At 48.4% G+C, this 18,670-nt stretch overlaps 3 annotated features.

The window, feature by feature from the left end:
• Window positions 2,447-2,966: an enhancer, noted in NCBI's record as "OCT4-NANOG-H3K27ac hESC enhancer chrY:1718443-1718962 (GRCh37/hg19 assembly coordinates)". NCBI's record gives its function as "activates a minimal SCP1, AML or CMV promoter by ChIP-STARR-seq in primed H9 embryonic stem cells {active_cell/tissue: H9 hESC(primed)}" and the evidence as "EXISTENCE:reporter gene assay evidence [ECO:0000049][PMID:30033119]".
• Window positions 10,195-10,696: an enhancer, noted in NCBI's record as "H3K4me1 hESC enhancer chrX:1776191-1776692 (GRCh37/hg19 assembly coordinates)". NCBI's record gives its function as "activates a minimal SCP1, AML or CMV promoter by ChIP-STARR-seq in primed H9 embryonic stem cells {active_cell/tissue: H9 hESC(primed)}" and the evidence as "EXISTENCE:reporter gene assay evidence [ECO:0000049][PMID:30033119]".
• Window positions 10,697-11,196: an enhancer, noted in NCBI's record as "H3K4me1 hESC enhancer chrX:1776693-1777192 (GRCh37/hg19 assembly coordinates)". NCBI's record gives its function as "activates a minimal SCP1, AML or CMV promoter by ChIP-STARR-seq in primed H9 embryonic stem cells {active_cell/tissue: H9 hESC(primed)}" and the evidence as "EXISTENCE:reporter gene assay evidence [ECO:0000049][PMID:30033119]".

Below are 18,670 nucleotides of genomic sequence, written 5' to 3' on the forward strand. Positions count from 1 at the left end.
CCCTTTCATTTCTCTCTTTCTTTCTTTCTTCCTTTCTTTCCTTTCTTTCTTTTCTTCCTTTCTTTCTTTCTTTCCCCTTTCTGATTTTCTATCTATCTAATGCTCTAAGTCGTAAAAAGAAGAAAAAACGTGAGCATTTGTCACTGCTTTTTCTTCTTGCAGACAGTTTCATTGGGTGGTTGTATTTGGCTGGGTAGTGACCTGTAGCTATTAGTGACCTGTAGCTGCTGTAACAAGTTATCACAAATGTGGTAGCTGAAAACAACACAAATTAACTGTCTTGCAGTTATGAAGAACAGAAGGCTGAAGTCAGTTTCCCTAGGCTAACATAAAAGTGTTGGCAGGACTGCTTTATTCTAGAGGCTTTGGAGGTGAATGCATTTTCTTGCCTTGCCAGCTTCCAGAAGCTGCCTGCTTTCCTTGGCTCATGGTCCCTTCCTCCACTTGCAAAACCCACACCCACATCACTCCGGGCTCTGCTTCCATTGTCACCTCTTCTATAACTTTGATCCTCTTGCCTCCCTCTCATAAGGAGCCTTCTGATGACAGATGGCCAACCCAGAGAATCCAGGACAGCCCCCCTCTTAGGATCACTAATTAAACCACAGTTGCCAAGTGTGTTTTTCCAGGTGAGGTCACATATTCACAGGTTCTAGAGACTGGGATGTGGACAGCTTTGGGGGATATTATTCCTCTACCATATGGGGAGTGGGATGTATAAATCTTTGGGGCCATTATTCTGTCTATCACATGGGGATTTGGGTGTTGATAACATTTTTAGGGTCATTATTCTGTCCACCACGTGGGGATTAGGATGTGGACATCTTTGGGGGCCATTACTCCTTCTACCACATGGGATTGCAATGTAGACATCTTTGGGGGCCATTTTCTGTCTCCCACATGGGATTAGGATGTGGACATCTTTGGGGCCATTATTCTGTCTACCACATGGGGATTAGGATGTGGACATCTGGCTGGGCGCAGTGGCTCACGCCTGTAATCCCAGCACTTTGGGAGGCTGAGGCAGGTGGATCACAAGGTCAGGAGATGGAGACCATCCTGGCTAACATGGTGAAACCCCATCTCTACTAAAAATACAAAAAATTGGCCAGGCATGGAGGCGGGCGCCTGTAGCCCCAGCTACTAGGGAGGCTGAGGCAGGAGAATGTCGTGAACCCGGGAGGCAGAGGTTGCAGTGAGCCGAGATCGCGCCACTGCACTCCAGCCTGGTCGACAGAGCGAGAGTCCATCTCAAAATAAATAAATAAGTAAAATAAAAGCGTGTGTATACGTTCATATATACAGACGGTTTCCAGCTTACAGTGGTTGGATTTACAACTTTTCAGCGTTACGATCAGTGTATCAAGATACTAAATGCATTTTTAAGTTAAGGTATGTGGACCCATGATAGACTTGTGGGGAGGTAACCCCACTGTAAGTCAAGGGGCATCCCTCTGTGAGTATATAGATTCTCCACCCCCTAAAAAAATTATAAGCACTGTGACCACCCCTAAAGTGGCTCAGGCTCATGCATGTAGCCCGCCTGGGCTTGAATGCTCTTTGCAAACATACGTTAGATCTGGACAGCCCAGTTCTTCAGGGAAACCCTCTTGGGGCCATGGCAACATGTGGACCATTCCGGAAGAGCGAGAACCGGTGCCTGCCAGCAGGTGGCAGCATGGGGCAGCTGATGTAACCCGGCTTCCTTCGCTCCAAGATTGCACCTGTCAGAGGCAGTCAGGGCTGGGGTGACCATGAATGGGGAAAAAGCAACCCCCCGCCCCAACTTTAGTGCTTTGCCGCTTTTTTTTTTTTTGAGATGGAGTCTCGCACTGTCGCCTGGGCTGGAGTGCAAAGGCAAGATCTCGGCTCACTGCAACCTCCACCTCCTGGGTTCAAGCGATTCTCCTGCCTTGGCCTCCCAAGTAGCTGGGGTTATAGGCACCTGCCACCACGCCCGGCTAATTTTTTTTTTTGTATTTTTAGTAGAGACGGGGTTTCACCATGTTGGCCAGGCTGGTCTCGAACTCCTGACCTCGTGACCCGCCCGCCTCGGCCTCCCAAAGTGTTGGGATTACAGGCGTGAGCCACCGTGCCCAGTCTGCTTTGCTGTTTTAAATGTTGGTTTTCACTAAAAACAATCCCACATCCAAAAGGATTTTTTCATTATTTTCCCCCATCAAGGGCAGATACACTAAAACTTCAGAGGCTGGCCTGGCGCAGTGGCTCATGCCTGTAATCCCAGCACTTTGGGAGGCCGAAGGGGGTGTATCAGTTGAGGTCAGGAGTTCGAGACCATCCTGGCCAACATGGTGAAACCCTATCTCTACTAAAAAGCACAAAATTAGCTGGGCGTGGTGGTGGGCGCCTGTAATTCCAGCTACTCGGGAGACTGAGGCAGGAGAATCGTTTGAACCCGGGAGGTGGAGGTTGCAGTGAGCCGAGATCGCGCCACTGCCCTCCAGCCTGGGCAACAAGAGCAAAACTCGGTCTCAAAAAAAAAAAAAAAAAAAAAATCGGAGGCTTACATTTTCTCTTGTTGAAAAATGAGGAGAGGGATATTTTCCCACTTTCCGCCCCGCCCCCCTCCCCAGCAAACTGGTAGCTGCAAGTTCTTTGTCGGCCTTTTTCAAATGTGTGTAAATCTTTTAAAGAAAGCGGCACCATAGCTCAAGAATGTTTCCTGCAGTGTCTGGGAGGAATCTCTTTGAAATGTGATCCCCAAGGGGGAGGAAAAAAAGCCTCATCCCCCGGGGTCCACAGAGGAGAAGAGCTTAATTTAATCTGTCACCTCACTCCAAATTGCAAAGCCTACACCTCCAGTCAAAATGAGTCCTTGTTTAGTTTCAGAAAACGAAAGGAAAGGGCTGTCTCCACTTTGCTGCGTAAAAGGATGAGATTTCTTTCTTTTTTTCCTTTTCTTTTTTTTTTTGAGACGGAGTTCTGCTCTTGTTACCCAGGCTGGAGTGCAGTGGTGCGATCTTGGCTCACGGATACCTCTCCCTCCCGGGTTCAAGCGATTCTCCTGCCTCAGCCTCCCGAGTAGCTGGGATTGCAGGCACGCACCACCATGCCCGGCTAATTTTTTGTATTTTTAGTGGACACAAAGTTTCTCCATGTTGGTCAGGCTGGTTTCGAACTCCCGACCTCAGGTGATCCACCTGCCTCGGCCTCCCAAAGTGCTGGGATGACAGGCGTGAGCCACCACACCCGGCCCATAAAAGGGTGAGATTTCTTTCTGTGTTTCTGATCCCTTTCACGGATGGCCTGGGGTGTATATCACATTTGAATTGAATGCTTGTTCTGTAGAAAAATGGTTTTCTTTTTCTTCTACCCTTGAGGAGAGGGGTTAAGGAAGGAGTTCCTGGATCGGGAGGAGATTTTTTTGCTTTTTTTTTTTTTTTTTTTTTTTTTTTTTGAGACAGAGTCCCTGTGACTCAGTCTGGAGTGCCCTGGAAGATCTCGGCTCACTGCAACCTCCGCCTCCACGGTTCAAGCGATTCTCCTGCCTCAGCCTCTCGAGTAGCTGGAATTACAGTTGTGCACCATCATCTCTGGCTAATTTTTGTATTTTTTTTTTTTGAGATAGAATTTCTCTCTTGTTGCCCAGACTGGAGTGCAATGGCGTGATCTCAGCTCACCACAACCTCCGCCTCTCAGGTTCAAGCGATTCTCCTGCCTCAGCTTCCCTAATAGCTGGGATTACAGGCATGTGCCACCACGCCCAGCTAATTTTTGTATTTTTAGTAGAGACGGGTTTCACCATGTTGGCCAGGCTGGTCTCGAACTCCGGACCTCAGGTGATCCACCTGCCTTGGCCTCCCAAAGTGCTGCAATTACAGGCGTGAACCACCGTACCCGGCCAATTTTTGTATTTTTTTGGTAGAGACAGGGTTTCTCCATGTTGGTCAGGCTGGTCTCGAACTCCTGACCTGAAGTGATCTGCCCACCTTGGCCTCCCAATGTGCTGGGATGAGAGGTGTGAGCCACTGCACCTGGCCTTTGGTTGTTTTTTTTTTTTTTTTTTTGAGACAGAGTCCCTGTCACTCAGTCTGGGGTGTCGTGGCTGATCTCGGCTCACTGCAACCTCTGCCTCCAGGATTCAAGCGATTCTCCTGCCTCAGCCTCCTGAGTAGCTGAGATTACAGGCCTGGCTAATTTTGTATTTTTTAGTAGAGATGGGGTTTGATCATGTTGCTCAGGCTGGTCTCGAACACCTGACCTCAAGTGGTCCGCCCGCCTCGTCCTCCCAAAGTGCTGGGGTGACAGGCATGAGCCACCACTCCTGGTAGAGATTTTGCTTTTTAATTCTATTTCCTTAACACCTTGAACATGTATGGCTTGGGCTGTTCCTCATCTCAGCCTTATGTTTTGATTCGATTGCCTTCCAATGAGCACCTTATTATTTAAAAGTGGACTTCAAGATGGGACTGTACCGTTTCCTTTTCTATCACACTTCACTGTTGGACCGTGAACTCTATTATTATTGTTATTTTTGAGATAGAGTTTCGCTCTTGTTGCCCAGGCTGGAGTGCAATGGTGTGATCTCAGCTCACTGCAACCTCTGCCTTCCGGTTTCAAGCGATTCTCCTGCCTCAGCCTGCCAAAGAGCTGGGATTACAGGCACACACCACCATGCCCGGCTAATTTTTGTATTTTTAATAGAGACAGGGTTTCACCATGTTGCCCAGGCTGGTCTGGAACTCCTGACTTCGTGATCTGCCCGCCTCGGCCTCCCAAGGTGCTGGGACTACAGGCATGTGCCACCACACCCGGCTAATTTTTGTATTTTTAATAGAGACAGGGTTTCACCATGTTGCCCAGGCTGGTCTCAAACTCCTGACCTCATGATCCGCCTGCCTCGGCCTCCCAAAGTGCTGGGACTACAGGCATGTGCCACCACACCTGGCTAATTTTTGTATTTTTAATAGAGACAGGGTTTCACCATGTTGCCCAGGCTGGTCTCGAACTCCTGACCTCATGATCCGCCTGCCTCGGCCTCCCAAAGTGCTGGGACTACAGGCATGTGCCAGCACACCCAGCTAATTTTATATTTTTAGTAGAGACAGGGATTCTCCATGTTAGCCAGGATGGTCTCGAACTCCTGACCTCGTGATCCACCCGCCTCAGCCTCCCAAAGTGCTGCGATGACAGGTGTGAGCCACCACACCCGGTCACCATGAACTCTAATGTCAGAAATTACCGAGGCGCTGTTTCTGCATTTTTTTCTAGTATGGATCCTGGTAAGCCACATCCAGAAGAGATTTCTCTGGAAGAACTTTGCCTTGAATGGAAGCAATTGTCCTGATGGCCACTAGGGGGAGGAAGCATCGTTTTCTCTCTTCGAATTGTAAGGCGAGAAGGATCTGAGGCCAGGTGTCCATAATTGAGGAAGTTGACTTTGCCAGGGTGGAGGACACCACGACATAACCTCAGGAGGTCTTGATGACGTGGGCCCAAGGTGGTTGGGGTGTAGCTTGCTTTTATACATTTTAGGAAGACTTGAAGCATCAGTCAATACATGTAAGATGTACGTTGGTTCTATCTCGAACGGCAGGGTGACTCAAAGCGGGGTTACACTTAAACATATTCAGGGCCGGGCGCGGTGGCTCACACCTGTCGTCCTAGCACTTTGGGAGGCCGAGGTGGGTGGGTCACCTGAGGTCAGGAGTTCGAGACCATCCTGGCCAACATGGTGACACCCTGTCTGTACTAAAAATACAAAATCAGGCCGGGCGCAGTGGCTCACACCTGTCATCCCAGTACTTTGGGAGGCCGAAGCGGGCAGATCACGAGGTCAGGAGATCGAGGCCATCTTGGCCAACACGGTGAAACCCCGTCTGTACTAAAAATACAAAAAAAAAATTAGCCTGATGTGGTGGCGGGTGCCTGTAGTCCCAGCTACTCAGGAGGCTGAGGCAGGAGTTTGCAGTGAGCCGAGATTGCGCCACTGCACTCCAGCCTGGGAGACAGAGCGAGACTCTGTCAAAAAAAAAAAAATTAGCTGGGTGTGGTGGTGTGAACCTGTAATCTCAGCTACTTGGGAGGCTGAGGCAGGAGAATCGCTTGAACACTTGAGGCCAGGAGTTTGAGATCAGCTTGGCCAACATGGCGAAACCCGGTTTCTACTAAAAATACAAAAAAATCAGCACAGCGTGGTGGCACATGCTTGTAATCTCAGCTGCTAGGGAGGCTGAGGCATGAGAATTGCTTGAACCTGGGAGGTGGAGGTTGCAGTGAACCGAGATCACGCCACTGCACTCCAGCCTGGGCGACACATGGATACTCTGTCTCAAAACAAACAAACAAACAAACAAAAACATACTTATTGGCAATTGGTTGAAAGAGTTATTATCCGTAGTAAGGAATGTCTGGCTTATGATGGTGTTGTAGAGACCGAGGTTTTATTATGCAGATGAAGCTTCCCAGGTAGCAGGCTTCTGAGAGAAGAGACTGCAAATGTTTTTTTTTTCTTTTCTTTTTCTTTTCTTTTTTTTTTTTTTTTTTTAACGGAGTTTCACTCTTGTCATCCAGGCTGGAGTGCAGTGGCGCAATCTTGGTTCATTGCAACCTCCGACTCCCAGGTTCAAGTGATTCTCCTATCTCAGCCTCCCGAGTAGCTGGGATTACAGGCATGCACCACCATGACCAGCTAATTCTTGTATTTTTAGTAGAGACGGGGTTTCACCATGTTGGCCAGGATGGTCTCAATCTCTTGACCTCATGATCTGCCCGCCTCGGCCTCCCAAAGTGCTGGGATGACAGGCGTGAGCCACCGCACCCGACCAGAGACTCCAGATGTTTCTTACCAGACTTAAGGTCTGTGTTGATGTTCATGCTGAAAATATCAGAGGTGTTTGAACCAGAACGACTCCACCTTGAATAGAGGCTGGGTAAAATGAGGCTGAGACTTACTGGGCTGCATTCCGAGATGGTTAAGGCATTCTAAGTCACAGGATGAGATAGGAGGTTGGTACAAGGTACAGGTCATAAAGACCTTGCTGATAAAACAGGTTGCAGTAAAGAAGCCAGCCAAAACACGCCAAAACCAAGATGGCCACAACAGTGACCTCTGGTCGTCCTCACTGCTATACTCCCACCAACACCATGACAGTTTTCAAATGCCATGGCAACGTCAGGAAGTTACCTTATATGGTCTAAAAAGGGGAGGCATGAATAATCCGCCCCTTGTTTAGCATATCTTCAAGAAATAACCATAAAGGCCAGGTGCGGTGACTCACGCCTGTCATCCCAGCACTTTGGGAGGCCGAGGCGGGCGCATCACGAGGTCAGGAGTTTGACACCAGCCTGACCAACATGGCAAAACCCCATCTGTACTAAAAATACAAAAATCAGCCCAGCGTGGTGGTGCATGCCTGTAGTCCCAGCTACTCGGGAGGCTGAGGCAGAAGAATCGCTTGAACCTGGGAGGCAGAGGTTGCGATGAGCCGAGATCATGCCACTGCACTCCAGCCTGGGTGACAGAGCAAGACTCCGTCTCAAAATCAAAAAAAAAAAAAAAAAAAAAAAGAAAGAAAGAAAGAAAAGAAAGAACGAACCATAAAAATGGGTAACCAGCAACCTTGGGGACTGCTCTGTCTACGGAGTAGCCATTCTTTTATTCCTTTACTTTCCCAATAAACTCGCTTTCCCTTTGGTCTATGGACTTGCCCTCAATTCTTTCTTGCATGAGATCCTAGAACCCTCTCTTGGGATCTGGATGAGGACCCCTTTCTGGTAACAGAGGGGTGTGGCGAGGCCTGGCCAACCTCCACTTCCCAACATGGCATGAACTTTAAATTGAAATTGAAATAATTTCATGTTAAATTTTAGAGTGTCCTGGCCAAGGAGGGAGTCCATTCAGATTTTTATTTTTGCTTTATTTATTTATTTTTTATTTTTTTGAGAAGGAGTCTCGCTCTGTTGCCCAGGCTGGAGTGCAGTGGCCCCAACTCGGCTCACTGCAACCTCCGCCTGCCGGGTTCAAGCGATTCCCCTGCCTCAGCCTCCCAAGCAGCTGGGACTACAGGCGCCCGCCACCATGCCTGGCTAATTTTTTAATTTTTAGTAGAGATGGGGCTTCACCATGTTGGTCAGGCTGGTCTTGAACTCCTGACCTCGTGATCCGTCTGCCTCAGCCTCCTAAAGTGCTGGGATCACAGGCATGAGCCACCACGCCCGGCCTATTTTTGGTTTATGAGAGGAGCTGCTGATACCTGGAGACTTGATACCCACAAGCTCCCCTTAGCCACAGTTCCAAAACAGGACATGGCTCAAGACCGCGTCTGGGGAGGAGGGGGAGACAGGATAATTCAGGCCTGCTGGGTGCTGCCTGCTGGGGGTACCCAGGGTCTGTAGATGTGTAAAGCCAGAGAGCTGGGACCAGAGTCTGCTGTTTCATTTTGCCCAAGACTTTCTGTGGGCCTCCTGGAATAAGGCAGACCAGCTGATGGTTGTTTTTTTTTTTTTTGACAGAGTCTTTCTCTGTCACCCAGGCTGGAGTGCAATGGCGCGATCTCGCCTCACTGCAACCTCCGTCTCCCAGGTTCAAGTGATTCCCCTGCCTCAGCCTCCCGAGTAGCTGGGACTACAGGTGCGCACCACCATGCCTGGCTAAATTTTGTATTTTTAGTAGAGATGGGGTTTCAGCATGTTGGTTAGGCTGGTCTTGTACTCCTGACCTCAAGTGATCCACCAGCCTCGGCCTCCCAAAGTCCTGGGATGACAGGCGTGAGCCACCACGCCAGGCCCGGGTAATATCTCTTATAGCTAGAGTGATTTTAGAGTGACCTTCGCATATCGTGACCCGTGAGTGAGTTTCCTGGGCGTGATGGTTAATACTGAATGGCAGCTTGATTGGATTGAAAGATCCAATCAAAGCGTTGTTCCTGGGTGTGTCTGTGAGGGTGTTGCCAAAGGAGAATAACACTAGAGTCAGTGGACTCGGAGAGGCAGAACCCCCCTCAATCTGGGTGGGCACCGTCTCATCAGCTGCCAGTCTGGCCAGAATAAAAGCAGGCAGAGGAGCGTGAAAAGGCTAGACTGGCTTAGCCTCCCAGCCTCCATCTTCCTCCTTTGCTGGATGCTTCCTGCCCTGGACCACTGGACTCCAAGTTCTTAATCCTTGGGACTCAGACTGGCTTCCTGCCTCCTCAGCTTGTAGATGACCTATGGTGGGACCTCACCTTGTGACTCTGTGAGTTAATTCTCCTTAATAAACTCCCCTTCATATATATATAATTCATGTGGACTCTTTCTAGACCATATAGATTGTATTAGTCAGGGTTCCTTAGAGGAATAGAACAAATAGAAGATACACACACACGCACACACACATATATATGTACGTATATGTGTGTATATATACACGTGTATATATACACACATATATACACGTGTATACACACACATGTGTATATATACATGTATACACATATATGTGTATATGCACATGTGTATACACACATATGTGCATGTACACATATGTGCATATACGCATATATACACGTGTGTATACGCATATATACGTGTGTACACGCATATATACACGTGTGTACACACATATATACACGTGTGTACACGCATATATACACGTGTGTATACGCATATATACACACATACACACATATATACACACATATACACACACACATATATATACACACACAATACATATATATGTGTGTGTGTGTGTGCGTGTGTGTGTATATATCTTCTATTAGTTCTATTCCTCTAAGGAACCCTGACTAATACAATGTATATGGTCTAAAAAGAGTCCATATGAATAATCCACTCCTAGTTTAGCATATCATCAAGAAATAACCATAAAAATGGGGGCCAGGTGTGGTGGCTCACGCCTGTCATCCCAGCACTTTGGGAGGCCGAGGTGGGTGGATCGCCTGAGGTCGGGAGTTTGAGACCAGCCTGGCCAACATGGTGAAACCCCATCTCTACTAAAAATACAAAAAAAATTAGTCGGGCATGGTGGCAGTTACCTGTAATCCCAGCTACTCGGGAGGCTGAGGCAGGAGAATCGCTTGAACCCGGGTGGCGGAGGTTGCAGTGAGCCGAGATCACGCCACTGCACTCCAGCGTGGGTGACAGAGTGAGACTCCATCTCAAAAAAAAGAGAAAAGGTTGTATTCTTTTGAGTCCTTGATAGCCTCTGACTGAATACATCATGTATTAGTTTGGTGTAGAAGTAACGGAGTGAAAACAAAAACAACAAAACAACCACCACCACCACCACAACAAAAAACACCCAGGCACAAAAGTGCAAAATGGCACAATATCATTTGCATGAAGTGTCTAGAATAAGACTGCTTGCAGAGTCAGAGAGCAGATGGGTGATTGCTTAAGGCTGAGAGCAGGGAGACTGGGGAGTGACGGTTTAATGGGTATGGGGTGTTTTTTTTTGGGTTACGAAGGTGTTCTGGAACTAGCTAGGGCCGGTGGTTGTGTAAAATGCTCAGTGCACTAAATCGTCTCTTCATTGTGCAATTTTTAAAATGGCAAACTGTGTGTGATGGGTATTTTCCCACAGTAAGAAACAGCAGCAGCACAAAGGGAGGTGATAACTCACGTCATATCACACCCTGCAGGCCCCATCACCCTTCCTCCTTCCTCTGTTCACCTCCTCCTCCTTTTCCGGGCTCTGCAGACGAGCCCGGGCAGCCCTCCCCGCTGGCCGTCTGGACCCAGGCCTGCCTGTCTTGGGTGCATTTTAGGACATTAAGTCTGGCTGGAACCTGAGAGCATCAGCCATGCGGTAAGTCCCCACATCCCTCCAGCAGTCTGGGAGGGGAGCTCTCTCCTTTGCTTTTGTACACTCTGGAGAAAATTGTCAGGCAGCAGACATGAAGAGCCTCTGGGGAGATTCAGTGAGGGCTGGCAGGCAGGTGTCCAGGAGCCTGAGTGACTCACGAGAGAAAGGACATATTCCTTAAAGACAAATTCATCAACGGATTGGTTTAAATAATTCCTGCTCAGCACATCCCAAATTAAGCTTCGTCATCAGACACTGCATCTGTTGCCTTTTCTAGAAACATGAGCTCTAAGCTCAGTGACACCGTCTGTCAGGGTTTCAACGTTTCACCTCCCCCCTCCAGGGGAGCCGGTTTCCATACACCAAAGCTCTCCAAGGTCCAGTTGTGAGGATGGGGAACGCTGGCTGTCTGGTGACGGCCTTTCCAAAGCTGCCCTGTCCTCTTGCATTAAGAAAGATTAGTTTGTACTCCGGGAGGAGAGGCGCAGAAGGTTAACAAGATTAGAGAGAGCTCCTGAGACCTGCGGTGAGATTCCCTGAGGGATGTGGCTAATAAAACTGTAAAAACAACGCAGGCGGTGTCTCTCACCGCCGGGTCCTGATTTCAGGGCCGCAAATGTCTACCTCTTCTAGGCAGTTTGCTACCTCAATAATTTAGGTTGTCAGTTGTGGTATCCAAGCCCCAGCACACTTTTTTGTTTGTTTGTTTGTTTGTTTGTTTTGCAGTTTGCAGGTGATAGTTTCTAAAGATGTGTTTTTCTATTTTTCTTTCTTTCTTTCTTTTTTTTTTTTTTTTTGAGACAGAATCTCACTCTGTCGCCCAGGCTGGAGTGCAGTGGGGCGATCTCAGCTCACTGCAAGCTCCGCCTCCCGGGTTCACGCCATTCTCCTGCCTCAGCCTCCCGAATAGCTGGGACTACAGGCGCCCGCCACCACGCCCGGCTAATTTTTTGTATTTTTAGTAGAGACGGGGTTTCACTGTGTTAGCCAGGATGGTCTCGATCTCCTGACCTCGCGATCTCCCCGCCTCGGCCTCCCAAAGTGCTGGGATTACAGGCATGAGCCACCACGCCTGGCTAATTTTTTGTATTTTTAGTAGAGACGGGGTTTCACTGTGTTAGCCAGGATGGTCTCGAACTCCTGACCTCGTGATCCGCCCACCTCAGCCTCCCAAAGTGCTGGGATAACAGGCGTGAGCCACCGCGCCCGGTCTATTTTTCTTAACTAAGAAATGTGTATGTGTGTGCATATGGTTGTGTGGCTGGTAGAGGTGGAGAGCTTCAGGAATGTGTGTATGCGTGTGTGTTTCTGCGTGTGTCTGTGTATGTGTTTGTGTGTTATCTTTGCTTGTGATTATGTTTGTGTCTGTACATATGTGTGTGTCTTTGTGGATGTGTGTTTGTATATGTATGGCTGTCTGTGTGTGTTTGCCTCTTTGTGTATGCATGTGAATGTGTGTGTTTATATTTGTGTATTTATGTCTGTGTAAGTGTATTATGTATTTGCACATGAGTGTGTTTCTGCATGTGTATATTTGGGTGTCTGTGTGTGTGCATGTGTGTGTATATGCATGCTAGTGTGTGTGCAGTTGTTTGTGTATGCATTTGTGCATATGTGCATGTGTGCATTTGTGTGTGTAGATATGGATATGGATGAGCGTGTATATTAATGTCTGTATGCATTTGTGTGTATGTGCATGTGTATATTTGCGTGTGTAGATATGGATATGTATGAGCATGTATATTAGTGTCTGTATGCATTTGTGTGTATGTGTGCATATGTGCATGTGTGCCTTTGTGTGTGTACATATGGATATGTATGCACGTGTATGCTGGTGTCTGTATGCATTTGTGTGTATGTGTTTGTGCATGTGTATATTTGGGTGTGTGTAGATATGGATATGTATGAGTGTGTATGCCTGTTAGTGTCTGTATGCATTTGTATTTGTATTTGTGTATGTGAATGTGAGCATTTGCACATGTGTGTATACGTGTGTCTGCATGTGTGCATCTATGTGTGTGCGTGTATGTGCAAGTGCGTATGTGTATAGGCACATGCTGATTTGTGTGTGTGAGAGGAGGGGCACAGGCAGACACTCTCTGTGTGGTCCCAGGTGAGGCCTGGTGGCAACGAGCCTGGTGCGTTCAGCCCTGGGTGGATGTGGTAGCGGAGGGAACAGCAGGGCAGCGTCCGAGGTGTGAAAAAGCACAACCTGCCCCGAGAGAGCCCTGCGCTCTGGGCCATCTCGGCTTCTTGGGCCATAGGTACATTCCTCACAGGTGACCTGAGTGTGGAGGAAAGGCCGTCTCTGCAGGCCAGGGGGCTCGCTGGTTAGTGCTCACACCCAGAGTGCACCCGGACGGCACCAGAGATCTTCCTACCTCCCAGGAGCCGTTGCACGATCTCCGGGCATCGCCACCCCCGACCTCGGGCACCACGAGACTCCATTTACAGACGGGAAGCGACCTGGGGCTGACCTTGATAAAACCCCTGTCCGGCCTCGATGGGTCTGAGCGGCAGGTGCCATTGTCTTCCCAACAGCGGCGTGTGTGACCCAACACGAGTTCGGGAATGCGAACAGTCTCCTCTCCGAGCTTCGCAAGCTGTTTTAGCACAAACTCACTGCTCAGCAGACTTCTTTGAACAAGGAGTCTTCTTAAAAATGACCCTTAAGCCTGTAATCCTAGCACTTTGGGGGGCCGAGGCGGGCGGATCGCTTGAGGTCAGGAGTTCGAGACCAGACTGGCCTACATGGAGAAACCGCATCTCCACTGAAAAATACAAGAATTAGCCAGGGTTGGTGGCGCATGCCTGTAATCCCCGCTACTCAGGAGGCTGAGTCAGGAGAATCGCTTGAACCCGGGAGTTGGGGGTTGCAGTGAGCCGAGATTGCACCATTGCGCTACAGCCTGGGCAACACAACGAGCCTCTGTCTCTAAAATAAAATAAGATAAAAAGTAAAATAAAGTAAAATGAAATATAAATATAATAATAAAAATGTAATAATAATATAATAATAATAATATCTGCCTACATAGGTCAGTGTACAGGCGGCGAACTGACTTCTTGCTCCGTGGCGTCAGAGCCTTGGAGAAAAGGAGGGTCACTGAGAAGGGGGGGCGGGTCAAATGAGAAGAAAACGCCAGGGAGGCTGATGCAAATCCCAGACCTCAAGGAGCAAGGGAGGGGCTGTTCTATCAAGTCCTGACGCCCAGGGCTAAAGGTAGAGGAGAAGGAATCCGTTCTTTGCCTTCTTTCTCTTCCCGCCCCCTAGCCCCTGCGCCTGGACCCCATTGGCTGAGCCCTGCTGAAGTCACCCAGCCAGGGTGACGCCAGTCAGAGCCAGGCAGATGTCAATTACACAGGGCCTTCTCTGTCTTCCCGCCCCCTAGTGCCTGCACCTGCTCCCCATTGGCTGAGCCCTGCTGAAGTCACCCAGCCAGGGTGATGTCAATCAGAGCCAGGCAGATGTCAATTACACAGGGCCTTCTCTTCCCGCCCTCTAGCCCCTGCACCTGCTCCCCATTGGCTGAGCCCTGCTGCAGTCACCCAGCCAGGTGATGTCAATGAGAGCCAGGCAGCTGTCAATTACACAGGGCCTTCTCTTCCCGCCCTCTAGCCCCTGCACCTGCTCCCCATTGGCTGAGCCCTGCTGAAGTCACCCAGCCAGGTGCTGTCAATCAGAGCCAGGCAGATGTCAATTACACAGGGCCTTCTCTCTCTTCCCGCCCCCTAGCCCCTGCATCTGCTCCCCATTGGCTGAACCCTGATGAAGTCACCCAGCCAGGTGATGTCAAGCAGAGCCAGGCAGATGTCAATTACACAGGGCCTTCTCTCTCTCTCTCTCTTCCCGCCCCCTAGCCCCTGCACCTGCTCCCCATTGGCTGAGTCTAGCTGAAGTCACCCCGCTATAGAGCCAGGCAGCTGTCAATCACACAGGGCCCACCACAGCCCAGAGTTGGGTTGAGTGCGAATCTAGCGAACCCTGTGAATCACGTCAGCGCCTGCACAGTGGGAAGGGGTCCCCCCTGGCACGTTGCTGCCAAGTTTCAACAGCGCTTAGAGGGGAAGCGGCAGAAGCAATTCGGCTTCTCGATGGGCTTGCCCCGGCGTGCACTTGCACGAAGCATTGGCAGGAAGGAAGCTTACAAATTCATCTGGGGCCACCAGCTTCCGGGGATCCGGTGAGATGCGGGGCATGGAGGGTTTGTGAAAGCAGCAGAGTGAGTTCTGTGTCATTTACTGCTGTTCTCTTCGGTCACATTGTTCTTTTGTTTTTTGTTTAAAAATAGGTGACTTTTACGCCGTACGCAGTGGCTCACGCCTGTAACCCCAGCACTTTGGGAGGCCAAGGTGGGAGGATCACCTGAGGTCAGGAGTTCGAGACCAGCCTGGCCAACATGGTGAAACCCTGTCTATAATAAAAATACAAAAATTAGCCTGGCGTGGTGGGGGGTGCCTGTAATCCCAGCTACTTGGGAGGCTGAGGCAGGAGAATCACTTGAGCCTGGGAGGCGGAGCTTGCAGTGAGCCGAGATCGAGCCACTGCACTCCAGCTTGGGCAACAGAGCAAGACTCCGTATTAAAAAAAAAAAAAAGTGACTTTTAGGTCGTATACAGTGGCTCACGCCTGTAATCCCAGCACTCTGGGAGGCCGAGGTGGGAGAATCACTTGAGCCCAGGAATTTGAGACCAACGTGGGCAACATAGCAAAACCTCGTATCCATTTATTCGATTAAAAAAGAACAAGTGACTTTTATTTGTCAGAATGAGTTATACAAATTCTGTGCTTTTTAAAATTTTTATTCTTTTTTTAAAAAATTTTTTATTTTTTGAGACAGTCTCACTCTGCCTCCCAGGCTGGAGCACAGTGGTGCGATCTCAGCTCACTGCAACCTCCACCTCCCGAGTTCAAGCGATTCTCCTGCCTCAGCCTCCTCAGTAGCTGGGATTACAGGCAAGCGCAACCACACCCGGCTAATTTTTTTGTATATATATATATATATATATATATATATTTTTTAGTAGAGACGGGGTTTTACCATGTTGGTCAGACTGATCTCGAACTCTTGACCTCGTGATCCACCCGGCCTCCCAAAAGTGCTGGGATTGCAGGCGTGAGCCACCGCACCCGGCCTTATTTTATTCTTTTTAATTGAGAAAAATGGCACATATTCACGGGATACATAGTGATGTTTCTATCCATATAGTGTGTAATTATCAGATCCTTATAGCATATAATGATCAATGTATAATTAATGATCAGATCCATATAATCTATAATGAGATGATTGATAGCATGTCCATCACGTCGAACTGCCTTTCCTTCCTTCCTTTGTTCCTTCCTTCCTTCCGTTCTCTCTCTCTCTCTCTCTCCCCTTTCTTTCTCTCTTTCTTTTTCTGTCTCTCTGTCTCACTTTCTCTCTTTTGGTCTCTCTCTCTCTTTCTTTCTGTCTTTCTTTCTTCTCTCGCTCTCTCATCCAGGCTGCAGTGCAATGGCATGATCTCGGCTCACTGCAACCTCCACATCCAGGGTTTGAGCAATTCTCCTGCCTCAGCCTACCAGGTAGCTGGGATTACAGGCATGTGCCACCACAGCCAGCTAATTTTTGTTTTTTTAGTAGAGACAGAGTTTTGCCGTGTTGGCCAGGCTGGTCTGGAACTCCTGACCTCAGGGGATCCACCTGCCTCGGCCTCCCAAAGTGCTGCGATTACAGGCATGAGCTACCATGCCCATCATTTCTTTGTGTAGGGAACATTTAATATCCTCCTTCCAACTATTTGAAACTGTAGAATATATTATTGTTAACTATCATCATTCTACAGGGCTTTAGAACACTAGAGTTTATTCCACGTGTCTAGCTGTAATTTTGTACGCTTTAATAATTGTTTTCATATGGACATAATAGCTCTCCGGGAAGAAAAAAATATAAAATAATAAATGTCACTCAGAACAGTAATCAGTAATGCTGTCAAAACTTTATTCAGGCTGTGTGTGGTGGCTCATGCCTGTAATCCCAACTCTTAAGGAGGACGAGGCGGGTGGATCACTTGAGCTCAGGAGTTTGAGACCAGCTTGGCCAACATAGTGAAACCCTGTCTCTACTAAAAATACAAAAAAAATTAGCCGGGCGTGGTAGCAAGTGCCTGCCATTCCAGTTACTCAGGAGGCTGAGGCACGAGAATCACTTAAATCTGGGAGGCGGAGGTTGCAGTGAGCTGAGATCGCGCCATTGAACTCCAGCCACTGCACTCCAGAGACAGACTCTCTTTGTCTTTTTTTTTTTTAATTTTTAAAAGGCAGGCGGATCACCTGAGGTCAGGAGTTCGAGACCAGCCTAGCCAAAATGGTGAAACCCCGTGTCTACTAACAATACAAAAATTAGCAGGGTGTGGTGGCGGGCACCTGTAATCCCAGCTACTCAGGAGGCTGAGGCAGGAGAATCGCTTGAACCCGGGAGGTGGAGGTTGCGGTGAGCCGAGATCACGCCACTGCAATGTGGCCTGGGCAACAGAGAAAGGCTTTGTCTCAAAACAAACAAACAAAAAATTGATGTTATGCACAGTATTTAATAAATTACATGAGACAGTCAATACTGTATTCTAAAATAGTCTTTGCGTTAGGTGATTTTGCCCAACTGTAGACAAATGTGAGTACTGTGTTTAAGGCAGGCTAAGCGATGATGTTTGGAAGGCTAGCTGTATTAAATGTCTTTTCAAGCAAGGATCTTTTCAACTTACAATGGGTTTATCAGGACGTAAGCCATTTTAGGTCAAGGAGTATCTGTATTTTGCTTTGATGAACATTTGACTATTCAGTCCTTTTAAAGTGGTGCATTCATGTGGCAGTTTGAGAGACATTAACAAAAAAAAAAAATAGAACACCTCCAGCAAGTACCAGAAAGATCACCTTTCTCCGTACAACTTCAGATTTGATAAAGCAGGCTTTTAAAAAGTGCTCTAGGGAATTGCAGGTCAGGTTAACAAAAACACATATTCAAATACCACAAATACAGCTATTAACATTAAAGCTGGCAGGGCACGGTGGTTCACAGCTGCAATCCCAGCACTTTCAGAGGACAATGTGGGTGGATCGCTTGAGGTCAGGAATTCAAGACCAGCCTGGTCAACATGGTGAAACCCCGTCCCTACTAAAAATCCAAAAATTAACCGGGCGTGGTGGCAGGTGCCTGTAATCGCAGCTACTCGGGAGGCTGAGGCAGGAGAATTGCTGGAACCCGGGAGGTGGAGGTTGCGGTAAGTCGAGATCGCGCCACTGGCTGGGCAGCAAGAGTGAAACTCCATCTCAATAAAACAAACAAACAAACAAAACCCTCCAAAACACGAGGATGATGGGGTTTGTCAAGACAAGGACCCTTTGTGTCTTTGTGTCTTTGGACTTGAGGGAATGGTCCCTCACAACCTCTAAAAGTCAATACATTTGATGTTTTCAAGGGTAGGTGGTAATCTTGCTATAATCACTGACTTCAGAGCTATCGTTCATCCCTCGGATTGGGGTATATGGGTAGGGAAAATAACACCCATGATGATGGCCACATCCTAATTCCTGGATCCCTGCACCTGTGAACATGTGACTTCACGTGGCAAAATGAATGTTGCAGGTGCGATAAAGGTAAGGATCTGGAGATGGGACATGATCCTGCATCTTGGATGGACCCAGTGTCTTCACAGGGTTCTCAGAAGAGGAGGTAGCATGGGCAGAGTCAGAGAGATTGGAAGAGGCTATACAGCTGGCTTTCAAGATGCAGAGAGGGACTGTGCATGAGGCATTGCCAGGTAGCTTTTGCTGGACTACAGTTCAATCCATTTCAGTTGCATCCAGTTCCTTTCGAAAGCTCTAGGGGAAGGTCCATCGTGTCTCTCCCACCCCCTGGGGACTCCAGG

This window comes from Homo sapiens, chromosome X, assembly GCF_000001405.40.
Source record: "Homo sapiens chromosome X, GRCh38.p14 Primary Assembly".
NCBI lineage: Eukaryota > Metazoa > Chordata > Mammalia > Primates > Hominidae > Homo > Homo sapiens.